The sequence below is a fragment of the Homo sapiens genome, assembly GCF_000001405.40.
Source record: "Homo sapiens chromosome 1 unlocalized genomic scaffold, GRCh38.p14 Primary Assembly HSCHR1_CTG9_UNLOCALIZED".
Classification (NCBI taxonomy): domain Eukaryota; kingdom Metazoa; phylum Chordata; class Mammalia; order Primates; family Hominidae; genus Homo; species Homo sapiens.
This window is the reverse complement of record NT_187369.1, coordinates 1,972-20,587: the sequence shown is the minus strand read 5'-3', so window position 1 is coordinate 20,587 and position 18,616 is coordinate 1,972. Positions and strand designations below refer to the sequence as shown.

The following is an 18,616-nucleotide window of genomic DNA, read 5'->3' as shown; positions in this document are numbered from 1 at the left end:
TAGGGTCAAGATGAATCAGGGACCTCTGTGGAGGCGATGGCAGGCCCAGGGGGGAAAACTGGACATCAGAGGTGGAGAAAAGTGAGCAAATGAGAATATTACGGTGCCCAGCTGTCCAGCACGACGAAGGGAGGGGAAGGGTGGGCAGCTCAGTGGAAGCTGCAGCTGCAGCCTCTTTAAGAGAGGAGTGGCCTCTCATTCTGCACATAAAACATTGACCACAGGGAGCGGAAGGCTTGGGCCACAGGGGAGCTGGAGAAGGGGTCATGAGTCTGGGAGGAGAGGCCTCACAATAGCCGCCCTCGGATGGGTTGGGGCGGGCCACCGCGCCTCTCAGCTTCAAGGCCTTTGGCAAGTTCCTTGGGTGGTGTAATGAGCGAACAAGCCAGGCATGGAGACCCCGTCTGCTGGCCTGTTCTTGCCGCCGCAGCAGCGAGCAGCAACCGGCCGTGCCCCCCGCCAGCGACCAAAGTGGACACTGCCCAGAGCCTGGAGCGGCGGCTCAGGCCGAAGCCTCACCCCAGCGTCACCCCCCGCCGGCCAGACGCGGTCCCTCCCTGCAGACGCAGCCCCGCGGAGCCATTACACCACCCAGGACATGCAAAAGGTTCCTGGCGCCACGGCGGGAGCTGGGCCAGAGGGAGACGCGCCTCCCTCCCCTCTCTTGTCTTCCCCGCCTTAGCTGACGGCCGCCAGCTCGTGCTGCTACCCCCGCGAGGGCTGGAGGTACCCCCGCGAGGGCTGGAGGTACTCCCGCGAGCACAACGCCATCCTCTGGCCCTTTGGCGAGCTCATGACCGAGGCCGACATCCTCCGCATCGAGCAGCAATCGAGAACCTGCAGGTGCTGCACAAGGCGCAGAAGCTGGAGGCGCGCCTGGAGCAACTGGAGCTGAGCAGCTGCTGCCCATCTCCGTCGCCCTGTGGAGCCGCGCTTCACCGTCGACCCGCGCCGAATGCATGGCCGCGCCGCCAGCCTGCCCGCCTGGTGCAGCAAGATCTCCACGCTGCTCAAGAGCATGGCCACGCTGCTAGCCGCGCTGGGCTGCCGGCCTGCGCACCTGGCGGAGCTGCCGACCGCTGACACGGGCCAGCCGCTGGCGCCGCTGCCTGAGGCGCCCTGACTGCCGGGGCCGCTTTGCCTGGGCCGCTCGCACTGGCTCAACTGGTGCCGCGAGGCTGTGGCGCGCGAGATCCTCGAGTGCGGCGCCTCCGTGCAGCATCACCGCGCCACCTACGAGCTGCGCGCACTGGACGCGGCGCCCCCGCGCTGTCCGCGCCGCAAGCCCCCGCAGTCCGCTGGCGCCCCGGTCCGCGAGCCCATCCTGTAGGAGGACTACGTGGCGGCCGGCTCTGGCCAGCCCAGCGCCGCCGCCGCCCACGGCCCGCTGGCCGACTGGGAGCCCCTGGACACCCTGGGCCCGCCTGAGGCACAGGATTGCCAGGCGGCGCTACCTGAGCCCGAGCAGCTGGCGCGCCGGCCGCCCCTCTGCACGGAACTGCGCGGCGTCCAGGACTACCTCGACCTGCGCAAGGAGCGCATCGTTTACCTCTTCCTGGAGCACTGGCGCCTCTGGGCCTTCCTCGGACCGGGCCTTCCGCGGACCAGGCGCGCCTAGGCAGACTGCTCCCTGGCGTGACGGCCGCCCGTGCTGGCCGGAGCTGGAGGCCACGGACGCCCCCCGGCTGCCGGTGAGCAAGGGCGAGGCCCACAGCCCCAACGAACGGCTGCGGCAGCTGCTGAGGCAGCGGCAGGCAGTGGGCAAGCTGCTGCACCACTGGCGGAGCCTGCGGCGGCACGTGCCGCCAAGCCCGGGCCTGGCGCGCACGGCGTGTACTGGCCCCAGCACTTCCTGTCGCCCCTAGACGGCGGCGCACCCCCGCGCTACGAAAGCCTCACGCTCGACCTCTTCATGCTCGGCTACTTCCAGCTACCGGAGATGGGCCTGAGCCGCGAGGATCGCAAGTTCCGCCACCTACTGTGCTACGAGATGTTCCACCGGCTGGACAGCCACCCGTGGGAGCGCATCCGCCTCTTCCACCGCGTGGTGCTGGAGGAGGTGGAGGCCGGCCGGCGCGGCTGGAGCGACGGCTTCGAGGACCTCAGGCACAGGTTCTTCGGAAACGGCCTGGAGGCTGGGCCGGCCCCCGAAGAACAGGCGAAGAAAAAGGAAGAGAAGGGGAAAGAACAGGAGCGGACCGAAGAGGCCGCTCCGGTTCAGAAGGGGGACCCGCCCGAGGGGCAGCGCGAGGCCCTGGCCCCTGTGCCGCAGCCGCCGCCCCCGCCCGCCCGCCCGCCCGCCGCGCTTCCCCGGATCTCAGACTCTCCGGGTTCCGAAGCCCCCGCCGAAGACCCTTTGGAACTAGTGTCTGAGATGGGCGAATTCAGCAACGAGGACATCTGCCGCTACATCGACCGCAGCTTCTCCTTCTGGAAGGAGAAGGAGGCAGAGCTGTTTGACATCTGAGCAGCGGAATTCGGAATTCGCAGTTCACCCTCGAGCGTCTTAACGTGGGCCTGGACGCCTGTCTGACGCCCTCCAGAGGCGTGAAGCAGCGGGAAGAACCCAGGACTGTGGCCTTGAGCAGCCCGGAGGGCCCAGGACCAGGCTGCCTCAGCCTCTGAGGTCCCATCGTGAGCAGGCTGTGTGGGGCGTTGGTCGGATAGGCAGGGCAGGCACAGAACAAACCAGGTGTCCCCCTCTGGCCCCGTGGTCTTGCTGAGCTCTGTGTGGAGCCAGGCAGCAGAAGAAGCCCCTCTGAGTGAGGGGCTGCGGCTCCTCCCTGGGGCAGTGTGGCCTGCTCTCTGGTTTTCCACTGGAGTTCACAGCTACCTCCTTGGCTGAGGTCAAGGGAGCCACGTGTGCAGTGTTCTGTGTGAAGTGTGCGGTGTACAGACCCTTTCTCCTCTGTAATATTCAGGAAATAAAACTCTTTGCTGTAAACTGCCTATGTTGGACACCACACCTGCCCCTGATGTCATTGCAGCCCCACGATTGTAGAGCACGTATCCACTCTGTTGGGAAGAGGGCAACCATGGGCTGAAGGTCCTTCTCAGGGGAGCCAGGGGCAGCCTGAATCTCCCTGAGCCAAGAGGCTGGGTGGGGGCCCGCATCTGCGTCTGCCCAGAGATCTTGGACCTGTGGCCATTGGCCACCTGCCCCTGTGGGGAATCAGGCTCAGGACCTCTGGGTCCCGGCTACTTTTTCTCTGCTTCTGTCCCACTCAGCTCTGATCTCTCTGGTGCCTCCTGTAGGACACAAGGGTCTGGGTTACTAGGGGAAAGGAGGCCAGCTCTGAGGGGGTGTGACCAGGCACCTCCATCCACTTGTCCCACAGAAATGCATCCAAAGGGTCACTTCCTGTGACCCTGACTCCTTCAGGTCCCCAGGTTGAGGGTGCCCCCTATCTCCCAGCCCCTGCAGGCTCTGAAGCTTTGTGGTTGTGTTTCAGGAGGAGGAGGAGGCCCGGCTGGCCAGCATGCCCGCCTGGAGGTGGGACCTCCTGCGGAAGAAGCTGGAAGAAGAGAGGTGAGCCGGCGGTCAGGCAGAGGCTGGCCTGGCAGCGTGTCTTGACTGCGCCCCTGAGGTGGAGGTACCAAGTGACACTGTTTCTCCTTCTAGGAAGCAGAAGCGGTGAGTGCAGGGCTGGCCCCAGCCTGCCACCCTTACCCCCACCCAAGTCGCAGAGGGTCGTCCCTTCATCCAGGCCAACTTGAGTGCATCCTCCTGTCTCTTGGCCCTTGTAGCACAGCCTCCTTCCTCCCTATAATATCCCAGACGGCTGACCCCCAGAATCTCTCTCTCATGCTCTGATAACTTTGTTCCCGGTTACTCAGTCCCTGCCTCCTATTAACCTGGCCTTTTCTACCCTTCAGTTAACCTAACCCCAGTATCAATCACCTTGATTGTCTGGCCCTCAGAATGTACTTTCTGCCCCTAGTCATCTCACCCAGCCCAGTGCTGTCCAATAGAAATGTAATGAGAGCCACAGATGTAATTTAAAATTTTCTAGTAGCCACAGTGAAAATGTAGAAGGATATAGGTGAGCTTAATTTTAGTAGTGTTACTTGACACAAAATATCAAAAATATTATTTCGACACATAATCAATTATGAAAATTACTAATGAGATGTTTTATACTCCTCCTGTAAAAGTAAGTCTTTGGCCAGGCATGGTGGCTTACACATGTAATCCCAGCACTTTGAGAGGCCAAGGCAGGGGGACCACTTGAGTCCAGAAGTTTGAGACCAGCCTGGGCAATGCAGTGAGACCTCATTCTGAAAAAAAAAAAAAATTTTTTTTTTCTTTTTTTGAGATGGGGTTTCACTCTTGTCACCCAGTCTGGAGTGCAGTGGCGATCTGGGCTCATGCAACCTCTGCCTCCTGGGTTCAAGTGATTCTCCTGCCTCAGCCTCCCAAGTAGCTGGGATTACAAGCATGTGCCACCGCACCCAGCTAATTTTGTATTTTTAGTAGAGATGGGTTTCACCATGTTGGCCAAACTGGTCTCAAACTCCTGACCTGAAGTGATCCACCCGCCTCGGCCTCCCAAAGTTGTGGGATTATAGGCATGAGCCATCAAGCCTGGCCTTTTTTTTTTTTTTTTTGAGACAGAGTTTTGCTCTTGTTGCCCAGGCTGGAGTGCAATGGCACAATCTTGGCTCACTGCAACCTCTACCTCCTGGGTTCAAGTGATTCTCCTGCCTCAGCCTCCCAGGTAGTTGGGATTACAGGCGCCTGCCACCACGCCTGGCTAATTTTTGTATTTTTAGTAGAGGCCGGGTTTTGCCATGTTGGTCATGCTGGTCTCGAACTCCTGACCTCAGGTGATCCACCCGCCTCAGCCTCCCAAAGTGCTGGGATTACAGGCATGAGCCTTCACACCAGGCCTACGAAAAAAAATTTTTTTTAATTAGCTGCACGGGGCTGCGCACAGTGGATCATACCTGTAATCCCAGCACTTTGGGAGGCTGAAGCGGGTAGATCACCTGAGGTCAGGAGTTCAAGACCAGCCTGGCCAACATGGTGAAACCCCGTCTCTACTAAAAATATAAAAATTAGGTGGGTGTGATGGCACATGCCTGTAATCCCAGCTACTCGGGAGGCTGAGGCAGGAGAATCACTTGAATCTGGGAAGCGGAGGTTGCAGTTAGCCGGGATCACGCCATTTTGTACTCCAGCCTGGGCAACAGAGTGAGACTCCATTTCAAAAAAAAAAAAAATTAGCTGGGTGGGCCGGGCTCAGTGGCTCACGCCTGTAATCCCAGCACTTTGGGAGGCTGAGGCAGAATGATCACCTGAGGTCAGGAGTTCAAGACCAGCCTGACCAACATGGTGAAACCCCGTCTCTACTAAAACTACAAAAATTAGCTGGGCATGGTGGCACGCTCCTATAATCCCAGCTACTCAGAAGGCTGAGGCAGGAAAATCGCTTGAACCTGGGAGGCAGAGGTTGCAGTGAGCCGAGATCGTGCCACTGCACTCCAGCCTGGGTGACAGAGCGAGACTCCGTCTCGATTAAAAAAAAAAAATTAGCTGGGTGTAGTGGCACACACCTGTGGTTCCAGCTACTTGGGAGGCTGAGGTGGGAGGATTACGTGAGCCCAGGAGGTCGTGGCTGCAGTGAGCCATGATCTCACCACTGCGCTCCACCCCGGCAACAGAGCGAGACCCTGTCTCAAATAATAATAATAATAATAATAATAATAATAAAACTTAGTCTTGAGATCTTATTGCTCTTATTGCCTGACTAAGGAGGTTCTGGGTAGGGAGTTCATTTTAGATCTGCTTTTTTTGTTTGTTTTTGTTCTCATCAAAAACTACCTTTGCAATCTCATGTTTCTCTTGGGCCCTCTTTAATGGCCTAACTTCTTCAAAGCATGATTTTCTTTTAGTTCCTCAAGGTGGCTTTGGAGAAAAGTCTGGCAACTGTGGAGACCCAGAACCCATCTTTGCCTTGAGAATGCAGAGCTGAAAGAGCAGAAATGTCTGAGGGATGGGAGATTGAGGAAGACAAGGAGAAGGGCAAGGTGGTGGTTGAGACTGTGGTTGCCAAAGAGGGTCTGAGTGAGAGTAGTCTTCAGGCTGAGTTCAGAAAGCTCCAGGGAAAACTGAAGAATGCCCACAATATCATCAACCTCCTCAAGAACAACTTGTGCTGAGTAGCAAAGAAGGGAATAGTAAACTTACTCCAGAGCTCCTTGTGCATCTGACCAGCACCATCGACAGAATAAACACAGAACTGGTTGGTTCTCCTGGGAAGCACCAACACCAAGAGGAGGGGAATGTGACTGTGAGGCCTTGCCCCAGACCCCAGAGCCTTGACCTTGGGGCTACCTTCACAGTGGATGCCCACCAAGTCAATGTAGGCTTAGATGGAATGAAAAACCACTGGAGAAGGGCTCGAGATGACAGTGTTTACTTTAAAACGTTCTCCCATGTGAATCAAGAGGTACCAAGAGAAAGGTCTCTTTGTACCACAAACAACAGGAATAATATTCTGCCTACATTCAGCCTTTAGAAAGCCTTTTACAACATGAATATTTCTTGGGTACTTAATTTTTCAGATAACACACTAGGCATTGGCATGGGGCAATAAAACCAATGGCTGCCCTTGAGATACTTAATATGGTAAGGAAAGATGGCACATAAACAGGTAATTTTAATAGGAGGGGGTAACTGCTGTAACATAGGGATGCATCAGGTTATGAGGCAGCCCAGACAAGTAGTATGTAATGACATCCCTTCCTTATCAATGCCATTTTTTTTTTTTTTTTGGTCACAGCTCATCACAGGTGTCTGTTCCTGGACCTCAGATGGGTTATTGGGATCCTGTTTAGGGGAGGAGCCATGCTGAAGATTCAGTAAAATGGGGAATACAGGGGATTCTGAGAGAATCGATGGCACAGAATGTGAGGGGAGATGAGTGGAGGGTTCCACCCCTTCTCTTGTTGACCACTGAGAAAACGTTTCCTAAGAGCTCCTCTGTAGACTTGATTGGCGCTGTGCTGTGTGCTGTGGATACAGATATGAGGAAAACATTATCCCAGCACTCCAGGAGCTCCATCCGGAAAGCAAGTCACTGCCAAAAGGCATGAGAAGTGCTGTGACAGACTTGAGTAAAGTCCACGGGGTTCACAACGGGCCATGGTCATCACTGCATGGGGGTGGCCTCGGACTGTCCTGATCCTTGTCTTGGCCCCTTTCACAGTTGGAGAACCAGTCCCAGCCTTGTGACACTGGGCCCAATCAGCATTTAGCCCACCAGGGTCCACCCAGCACCCGCGCTCCCAGCTGTCACAATGCAAACAACGCTATCAAGATCTCCAGGAGAAGCTGCTGCTATCAGAAGCCACTGTCTTTGCTCAGGCGAACGAGCTGGAGAAATAGAGAGTTATACTTAGTAGGTAACTATGACTTACTAGTAAAGAACTAGCCTGTACGTCTTATAAGCTCTGTATGTTCTATACAGACATAATGTGGTTATTGAGCACATGAAGTGTGGCTAGTGCAACTTGGACATTTGGTTTTATTTAATTTTAGTTAATTTAGTATAAAGTGGCCATATGTGGCTACTAACTACCTTATTGGACAGTGCAGGTCTAGGTGTCTTGGGACTCTAAATTAGTTCAGCTCCATTCAACATTTATTGAACCCCTGCTGATAAAGCACTTGCCAGCTTCAATGGGGCTGCTAGAGATGAGAGTACACAATCCCTGACTTACAGATACCTTGTCCCAACTAAGGCCTAGGTTATCTGAAGGGGAGATTATCAATGGCAAATGCAGGCTCCTCCTGTGGAAAGAAATTCTGCTTCCTGGAGCTGGTGGTCTCTTCTCCCACCAGTTCAAAGAAGCTTCTCTCGTACTGTGGATCTGCCCTCCCTGCCCCACAAGGTTAGGGTATGTGCCATTGAGGCTGAGGGCATATGTGGGAAATTCAGACATTCTGTAACACCTGCTGTCTCTTCCCACGCAGGTGAACCCTTGCTGAAGCAGGACAGTAAACAGGTCCAGGTGGACCTCCAGGACCTGGGCCACGAGACTTGTGGCCAAAGCAAGAATGAGGCTGAACAGGAGGAAACCACCAGTCCCGGTAAGAGCACAGGGTGTGGGGCTCACCTTCCCTCCCTGGAGTCAGCTGTCACATTTGGGTGCTGTTGGCCAATTCCACACCTGACAAGTAGTGGGGAAGAGGAGGACAGGAGGTTAATAGGAGAACTCTTACCCAAAATGAGGCTGCGTATAAGTTTGAATTTCTACAATTAGTTTGTGGCACACTGCTAATAATAATAATAATAATAATAATAATATAAAGTTCTAGCCAACTGATTATTATAGAAATACTAAGGCCTACTTAGAGACCACATGAGGTTTTGGAAACATGCAAACTGTAAGTTAAAAATAATTTTGTTTTGCATTATAAAAGGACTACAACCATAGGGCCACCCACCACATTGAAAACCAGAAGAGAAGAAAAACACAGTCTCTCTCATTCTTGAGGAAGTGTAGTGTGGCAGTTAAGAGAAAAGATCCTGGGGCCAGACTGGTTGGTTCAAATCCCAATTTGTAAGCTTTCCTATGCCCCAGTTTCTTCATATGTTAAAATAGTAATAAAGGAACTACCTACCCCATCAGGTACTAATGTGAATTAAATGAGTAAATTCTTATAAAATGCTTTAGAACAGTGTCTGGCATCAGGTAAAATGCTGTGGATTAGTTCTCATTCTGACTACCACTGCCCCAATACACTGATGTTAACATGCTGATATATTTATTCGAAGTCTTATTTTCCTATGCCTATTTTTCACACAGTGGTAACCCAATAAACTTTTAAATTATAGTAAACTTTAGAGAGCATTAAACTTGCAGCATGCAGAAATAGCTTGTCCTACATTCTTGTGGCTATCCTAACTAGATAAGGGCATGTTAATGTCTTGAGAAACATCAGTGTGTGTGGAATGAACACAGGACGTTGGAGGATTTGAATTCAGGCTCTGCCATGTGCTAGTTTGAGTGATCTAGAACAAGCTGGTTTACTACCTCTCTTTAAGTTTTGGTTTCCCCAGTCAGTAAAATAGAGAGTGGTGAAACCTAACTTATGGGTATAAGGAGGATAAGAAATACTGTATTTGAATGCCTAGCACAGTGTCAGGGTTGAATAAAGTACGACTTCACCTTTTTCCCTAGTAATTATTGTCCTCATGACCAAACCTGCCTCCTCTCAAAGGCAGTGGCCACAACAGCACATCCAACTTTTAATTAGGAAGACATCTTTGTCTTTTTTCAGAGCGTGAGGAGCACAACAGCCGCAAGGAAATGGTCCTGATGGAGGGGCTGTGCTCTGAGCAGGGGCGCCGGGGCGGAACGCTGGCTAGTTCCTCTGAGAGGAAGCCCTTGGAGAATGAACTAGGGAAGCAGGAAGAGTTCTGGGTATATGGAAAGTCAGAAAACATCTGGGTCCTATGAAAGGACATCAAAGATCTGAAGGCCCAGCTGCAGAATGCCAACAAGGTCATTCAAAACTTCAAGAGCCGGGTCCAGTCCCTCTCAGTTACAAGTGATTATTCTTCTAGTCTGGAAAGACCCTGGAAGCTGAGAGCTCCTGACACCCTGGAGGGGTCTTCACCTCATAGTGTCACTGATGAGGATGAGTTGTGGCTGTCTGATGGCACTGGGGCTTTCTACTCTCCAGGACTTCAGGCCAAAAAGGACCTGAAGAGTCTCATCCAGAGAGTATCCCAGCTGGAGGCCCAGCTCCCAAAAAATTTATCTAGGGACATATAATTAACATATATATAACAGTTGAAGAACAGTGGCATGGTAAATTTTTGTTTTGTTTTGTTTTGATACAGAGTCTCACTCTGTCACCCAGGCTGGAGTGCAGTGGTGCCATCTCGGCTCACTGCAACCTCTACCTCCCAGGTTCAAGCAATTCTCCTCCCTCAGCCTCCCAAGTAGCTGGGATTACAGGCATGCGCCACCATGCCCAGCTAATTTTTGTGTGTGTTTTTAGTAGAGGAGGGGTTTCACCATATTGGCCAGGCTTGTCTTGAACTCTTGACCTTGTGATCTGCCTGCCTCAGCCTCCCAAAGTGCTGGGATTATAGGCATGAGCCACCACGCCCGGCCCATACTAAATTTTTTAGTGCAATACTTTATCAGGGTAGAATTTACTGTTAAATGCCTCCTATGGCTTATGTGCCAGAATTCAGTTTGGGGGAGTTCCTTAGAGATGTTCTCATAGAAATCTCTACAGAAGCCCCATAACTTATCATCCACCCTTTCCTCTTCTGTCCTGCATTAGGAAATATGATTCCCTGATTCAGGATCAGGCCCGGGAACTGTCTTACCTACGGCAAAAAATAGGAGAAGGGAGAGGTGTTTGTTATCTTCTCACCCAGCATGCAAAAGATACAGTAAAATCTTTTGAGGATCTCCTAAGGAGCAATGACATTGACTACTACCTGGGACAGAGCTTCCGGGAGCAACTGGCCCAGGGAAGCCAGCTGACAGAGAGGCTCACCAGCACACTCAGCACCAGTAAGTTGGCCACAGGGCTTTGGATACTCTCAGTCACCCCACAGTTCCAGCCCCTGGTGGCCACCACATCTCCACTGCAACTTTTTAACGTAGGGTCCTGTTTCTATTTCATTTCCTGGGGCTAATACAGGATCAAGACTGCTCAATGGGACTCCTAGCCCTGACACACAGCTGGGACTCTCAGGTCCGACCAGCGGTCCTGAACCCGCTCCCACGGCACGGGAACTCCTTCGTGGTGAAGCAGCAGCCCCTGCGCTGGCTCATCTACATAGAAGTCGCCCTATCTGTGATGTCACCGACAGTGCCTTTCCCAGTCCCCGTCTGCCTTTCTGCCGCTCAGCCGACCAACCCGCTGCTGGAGCCGGCAAGGGGAAGTGACGTCTGCCTCTCCCTTTTTTCTCTCCTGCTTCCCTCATCTGTTCTCTCCCAAAGAAGCTGGTCCTTAGCCTGTATTGCGGAGCAAGCTTTCGGCGACCAGCTGGACCCTGGGCACCCTTCTTCGAACAATGGCTTTTAATTCTCAGACTAGAACATTTAGGATTACAAAAGAAACTGGTTCTTTTCACATCCTTATCCTTGTGATGTAGCATTCCGCATATATATATATATATCCAACTATCCTAAAAGACACTGCCCTTCATCATTCCATGCCGTTAGACATTTATAGGACCATGCATGGTGATCTCCTCCAGACAAAAGTAAATGCTGGTGCAGAGCAGGTAAGTGTACTATAATTTGAGTACTTCAGCTTTTGGGCATTTTAAACCATGGGTCAGACAAGTTAGAGCAAGAGGGCAGGTTGATAGCAAGAGGGAGTGTTTTTCTTTTAATTTCCTTTTTTTTTTTTTTTTTTTTTTTTGAGACGGAGTCTCGCGCTCTTCGCTCAGGCTGGAGTGCAGTGGGGCTATCTCGGCTCACTGCAAGCTCCGCCTCCCGGGTTCACACCATTCTCCTGCCTCAGCCTCCCCAGTAGCTGGGATTACAGGCACCCGCCACCACGTCCAGCTAATTTTTTGTATTTTTAGTAGAGTTGGGGTTTCACTCTGTTAGCCAGGATGGTCTCGATCTCCTGACCTTGTGATCCGCCCACCTCGGCCTCCCAAAGTGCTGGGATTACAGGCGTGAGCCACCGCGCCCGGCTTCTTTTAATTTTCAAATAGCAAAGTGATGTTTGCCACTGTCATTTCAGAATGAGGTGACAATTTGTTGTTGTTTGGTTTTGTGGGGTTTTTTGTTTGTTTGTTTGTTTCTGAGACAAGGTCTCACTGTCGCCCAGGTTGGAGTACAGTGGCATGATCAGGGTTTACTTCTGCCTTGACCTCATGAATTCAAGCAAACCTCCTTACTAATCCTCCCAAGTAGCTGGGACTACAGGTGCATGACACCACACCCTGGGGTGTGAACTGGGATTTGATGTTTTCAGTTGGCTCCCTGATGGAATAGGTTCCCTTACTATTCTGGAATACAGATTGTCTTCATGATTATGATTCATAATCATAATGATTATGACAGCAGTCCCTGCTGTCAGGCAGGGACGTTTAAGTCTGCAGAAGCTGTCTGCTGCCTTTTATTCAGATATGCCCTGCCCCCAGAGGTAGAATCTAGAGGCAGTAGGCCTTGCTGAGCTGCAGTGGGCTCTACCCAGTTCGAGCTTCCCTACCACTTTATTTACACTGTGACCATAGAACCACATACTCAAGCCTCAGCAGTGGCAGAACCCCCTCCCCCTGCCATGCTCCAGTGTCACAGGTTGATCTCAGACTGCTGTGCTAGCAGCAGGCAAGGCTCCATGGGCATGGGACCTGCCGAGCCAGGCACAAGAGGGAATCTCCTGTTCTGTCGGTTGCAAAGACAGTGGAAAACACAGTATTTGGGCAGGGGTGTACTGCTCCTCGAGGTACAGTCACTCACAGCTTCCCTTGGCTAGGAAAAAGAAATCCCCCAACCCCTTGCACTTCCCGGGTGAGGCGACACCCCACCCTGCTTTGGCTCATCCTCCGTGGGCTGCATCCACTGTCCAACAAGTCCCAGTGAGATGAACCAGGTACCTCAGTTGGAAATGCAGAAATCACCTGTCTTCTGTGTCTATCTCACCTGAAGCTGTAGACCGGAGCTGTTCCTATTCAGCCATCTTAGAAGCAACCCTCTTTTTCTTTTTGTATTTTGGTAGAGACAGGGTTTCACCATATTGCCCAGGCTGGTTTCAAACTCCTGTGGTCAAGCCATTCTATAAAACAAACTTATATTTGTTTTATCTGAGTTCCTTCCTCAGGAAAGGACTCTCAGGCCTCTCAAAAAGCATCAGAGACCTGAAACTCAGCCAATCACAGCATCCAGACAATGAGATGCCAGTCCCCTCACTCATCACGAGTGCTTCCTCAGCCCTCCCTAGTTCCTCTTTTCCCACACACAGTTAACTTTTCTTCTGCGCTATATAAACCCCTAACTTTAGTCAATCAGGGAGACAGATTTGAGACTCATCTCCTGTCTACTCAGCTGCAGCACCTGATTAAAGCCTTCTTCCTCAGCAATACTCAATGTCTCAATGATTGGCTTTCTGTGTGCTGAGAACACTGAAGCCCTGTGGTTTTGGTAAAAATACATGTACCCTTTAAAAAACCGCAATTAATGGGTTGTGGTATATTGAGAAATTGGAGTGGCATCAACTTGGCCAATTCTGAGGAAACACACTGTGCTTAAGTGTCAGGGCCCTGCCTCCTGACCTCGACAGTTTATGGTTGATTTTGAGGCACAGCAGGGGAGTATGGCCTGGTTTGAGTGTTTTATAGAAATGTAAAACATGGCTGATTACTTTTTATTTTAAATCCAACAAATCTCCATTTCTGGTGAGAAAATCTTGCCAAAACCAACCAAACAAATGCATAGAAGTATATGAAGAAGAAAATGAAAGATTCCCTGCCTCCCAATCCCACTTGCTTGGTGTCAGCCATTATTTATCACATGGAGGAAGGGGGCAAGACACCCAAGAAGTCCCAAGTCCTGTTCTCACAATCATCTGGCCTCCCTGGGCAAAGGGAAAAGAGGGAAGGCAAAAAGAATATAACACTACTGTTTGCGGAAATTTCCCCTTGGTACAGGAAACTCTGGTAAACTGAGAGAGTATGTTTTCCAGAGGGAGGCCTCAGGGGCTCTTCTCTGGCCCTAAGCCCAAACTGGATTTTGCCTCATTTTCTGAGGTGCAAATGAAATGATAAAAGTTGATCAAAGGAGAGGGCAGAGAGAAAGAAAGAGGATGACTCCTCTCTCGCAGGTCCACCTTCTTTGGTGTTGCTTGAGGGATCAGAAGAAATGCCTTAACATAGGTGTGTGGGAACTATGGCTGCTAAGTATGAACTCAGTTACCTCCAGTTATAAGCTAGTGTGAGGTTCCATGGTGAGCACTTTGGACTCTGAATTCAGTGATCAGAGTTCAAGTCTCACTGGTACCTTTCTGTATAATTCCAGTGAGGTTCCTCTCTATTGCTCCATAAGCAGAATGGGGGAAATTGCCCAATCGTGGTCACAGACCCTCCATGCCACTGGCTGTATGCAATTGGAGTCCCGGACCCAGCGACCAGCAAGACCCCTCCCCTCTCAGGGTGACCCTGGGCCTCCAGGTCACAGGTCTCCACTAAAAATGCTGCCTCCCCTCAATCCTAGACCCCGAGTTTTCTTTTGTTCACGTCATTGGGCCATTGCCCTATGTCTCTTTGGAAGAAATGACCTATATGAAAAATTTTACTTCCAGGATTCCCTAATTCTTTCATCCCTTAGGACAGTGCAGTTTTTCATCTCCTGATCTTGGGTCCGGTACTAATGCGCGCGTTTCATCTTGTTTTCATGGGATCCCCTCCAACCGGCTACCAGTGGATTTCTGTTCTTGGGGTCTCTGTGGATGACAACTAGATGCTGCTCTTGTCCCAAATCCTGACACCTCCCTCCAGGGAATTGCCTCCCTTAGCCTCCTAAATCAGCCAATATTTAGATTTGAGCCTGGAATCCCAGCATCTGTGGAGAACAGAGGCTCCTGATCCCTGGCCAGCCTCCCGCAGTGAAGGGGAGAGGAGCAGAGCAGCTGGGAGGGGCAAGTCCGGGGCCCTGGGCAACCCCCTTCTTCCTGCCCAGACTCTGCTCCAAAGAGAAGTTGCCTTAGGACCAGATCAGATGGAAACTCTTGTTCTCTTCTCATCAGCAGAAAAATTTAGGCAAGAGCTCTGGAGGACTTTCCTAGCTCATAAAAATGCTGTGGTCAAGTCTCTCCAGTTTTGGAAATGCCCAAGGTTACCAAGTGTTTTGAGGGCTCACTTTGGAGCCTCTGAAAAGGACGGGTGAGGGCCCATGGGAAGGTACCTGAGGGATTCAGGAGAGAGAGGGGAAAGAGCAGACAGGAGGGAGGAGAGAAGGAGGGAGGGGGAGAAAGGGTGTGTGAGGGCCAGGAGCCAGGATTCACCCTGACAGTTCAGTGACTGCTCCCTGACCCCAAGGTTCCCACTGTGGCACCTTCCAGCAGGTGGTTTCCATCTCTTATTGATGTCCTGAGAACTTGGCTCTACAGAATGGTCCCACCCTATTTGTCTGGCATGAGTCCTGCAAAGTTTCTTTTCATCGTTTGGGGGATGAGATGGGGGTATATAGGCTTGCAAGTGACTAGGAGCTAAGTCAGGACCTTGTGGAGCCACTCAGAGTTAACTGTCAAGTAGCCTCCCTTCCCCCTTCGCTTGCAGGACGATTGCCTGCAAGACAGGGCCTGGAGGCCAGGGCACCCAAGGCCACAGAAATGCCCAGGGATGAGTCCTGGCTGGAGATGCCTTGGCTAAGCTGACTGTGCACTTCCAGGGCTCACAGGGGTCTGGCCAGGAGACTGAGCAAGGGGACCAGGGAGGTTGTGTAGCAGGCTTCTGCACAGCAAGGCAGACATTCTTCTTGGAGCCCCCAACCCAAATCAGGTCTTCCACCTCCTCTTCCTAAAGACCCTTTACTGCTGTCATTCTTTTACTGAACTACAAGTTTAGAGGACATGGATTTCAGTGCCCTCATCTGGCCAACCATCTTCAGCCGCCAATGGGCAAGGTAACCTCCCTCCCTGCCAAGACCTGACTCAGGACCTTTCCTTAAGGAGATGTCCTGTTCTTTCTTTCCCACCAGAACTGCCCTGGCCCAGGCCCCATTTCTGTCTGGTGACCAGGACAGTCCCCTCACCAGTCTCCCAGGTTGGGGAGGGCAGATCCTCCTCAGCTCCCTGCCCCTGAGAGACCCCAACCGTCTTGTGTGGCTCCGGCCCACAGAGTGATATCCATGGCCCATATCTCTCAAAACTCTCCCCTCCCACTCTGAATCCACCCTCTACTGCATGCTCCCCTCACAGAACAGACTAATTTTTGTGTGTGTGTCCTTGTTTTGCCTACCTGTACCCCAGACAGACTTTTCTGTCTTAGAACTACCTGTCCCTCTTTGGACAGTGTCTTCCTGGTACTACACATGAAGATGTCCCGCTCTCCACTGCTCAAGGAGAGAGTGCCTGACCTGAGCTGGGCCCATCAGATCCAGTACTTACCTGGAATAGGAAAAAGATGGGGAGAGTGACCAAAGATTACAAAAATCTCTGAAGCTTATCCACTTGAGAGAGAGTCCCTGAAGATACTGGCCTCTCATTCCTGCTATGTATGTCCAATGTGACTGAACTCTGAATAAAATATACAAGTTATAACAATGTAGCAATTGACCCAGCAAACGAGGACACAAACGTGTTGGAGGGTAAGGTGGTGAGAGGCGTGTTTGGGGGTGGTGGTGATGAGCAAGTATGTGAAGGAGAGGTAGTGCCTAAACTTGAAAATCAAAAAGTAATAATATCTATTTAGACATAAGGAGATAAATAACGAAATAATTGCTTCTATGTGATGAAACTCTGGGAGTACACAAGGGGACTGCTGTTTTACTAAACAAATTTTCAAGTATATATGACTTTGATAAAGTATCCAAATAAAATAATTCCTTTCCGATATAAGTATGTGTGTATATATGTATTCATTGTATTTTGAAGATAAATTTTTACACAGTCATGTTAATCGCTTTCATTTAAGGATTTGAGTTTGATGTCATGCATATAATGTGATCCCACTGTATGACTACACAAATGTTGGCAAAAGTGAGTTCAGAGGAAATGGTAGGCAAGTACTTCCCAGTTTTGACCAGAAGATGGAGAAAAAAAGAATTCTCAAAAAATGTTAAAGGTATGACATGTTATATTTTCTTTTCACAGTAATTTAGACAGAAATTAGCAAAATCAAACATGTATAAATACTTTGGTCTGACAATTCCATCTCCGGGTGTCTACGGAGAAATAGACAAGCGATGCACGACAGATACATGTGTCAGTCTGGTCCCTGCAGTTGTATTTGTAATAATACACATTGGAGCAATTTCATGGCCATCGGTTAGAGAATGTTTGAGGAATGATCCATTCATATCAAGAAGGACATTTCAAAGATCAAAGCCTGATGGAAATGCTGGAGACCATGGCGCTGATAGGAGCTCATGCGTGTTGACCAATTACTACGTGACAGGCATTGGCTCCAGGCTTTTCCTGCACTGCTCATTTAAACACTGGACAACCTAAGTGTTCTGATTTAGCCCATTGGACAGATAGAAATGGAGGCACAGAAGATTAATGTGTTTAACTTCAAACGCTGGCAGATTAGGTTTTTCATCCAGGGCCTGTGGCTTCACCATAGGTGTGATTCATGTTCTGTCATTCTCCACTTTAGGAATTTCCAGTATTCCAAATATGAGAAGCTGAGAAAACAAACAACAGACTCAAAACCCTAAAAACCAGGATACGTAAGGGTAGATGTTTGTTGGGTGTGGATTAAAAATGGACTTTTTTTGCCCCAAGCAACAAAGAGGCATCTTAGAGAATGGACAAGAGACAAGAAGAAGAGAAGCTTTAAGAGATATTTGGTCCAAGGAAGAGACTCTTCAGATGGAAGGTCACATCAGCTAGAAACATTAATATGACTGGATGGGCTCAAACCACTGACTTTTCAGTCAACATCCGACAGCACTAACCTAGTGTTCCAGAGACCCTGCTTGTTAAACAGTGAAAGCTGTTGCTCAATTGTGTCATCCATAATTGTCAAATATTGCCATTTAGTAGCACAAGGAAGTATTCTCTGTTGCCAAGCTAGAGTACCCATAACTCTTCTGTTTTGTTGAACATTCTTCCCCACCACAAACCCTCTTTAGAAGACTGGGGGCTCCTAAAGCATTGAGGCCGAGAGTCCCGTCCTTGTGCATGTTTGGGCATTGACCCAGGGCCAAGTGAGTGGGAGACCCCTCCACGCCTACGCCAGGTCCTCAGGTGACAACTGCAGTCTCTGGATCTGAAGTCATCCACTTTCCCATTCCTAGCTCACCTCACCCATCGTGAAGCCTGGTTAGTATTGCCAGAGACCCGAGTGGGCAGATGCCCACACCAAAGACAGAACCTGCTGTGTGCCCAACTTGCTGATCCCTCCATCCTTCTAGACAAAGGCTTCATAAGCCAGGGACCTTGGGTTTGCTCACAAGGCAGCCCCTCACCTAGTAGGCATTAGTTCATTATGTATATGTATATGTAGTCCTCAGGTTGTATTCCTTAAATATATATAATTTAAGGATATGTATTATATATATATATAAATATATATGTAATTCCTTAAATATATAATTTTAATACAATTTTTTTTTTTTTTTGAGACAGACTCTCACTCTGTCTCCCAGGCTGGAGTGCAGTGGCACCATCTTGACTCACTGCAAGCTCCACCTCCCAGGTTCACGCCATTCTCCTGCCTCAGCCTCCCAAGTACCTGGGACTACCGGCGCCCGCCACCACGCCAGGCTAATTTTTTTTTTTTTTGTATTTTTAGTAGAGATGGGGTTTCACCGTGTTAGCCAGGATGGTCTCGATCTTCTGACCTCATGATCCACCCACCTCGGCCTCCTAAAGTGCTAGGATTACAGGCGTGGACCACCGCGCCTGGCCAAAACAAAGTTTTTAAAAGATTCTTTTAATAAACATTTACAATAACATCAAGAA

At 50.6% G+C, this 18,616-nt stretch overlaps 1 pseudogene; it reads left to right on the top strand.

Moving 5' to 3' along the window:
* LOC101060324 (espin-like) overlaps positions 1 to 18,177 on the top strand; it is a 31,605-nt pseudogene extending 13,428 nt beyond the window's left edge.
* The last annotated feature ends 439 nt before the right edge of the window (positions 18,178 to 18,616 follow it).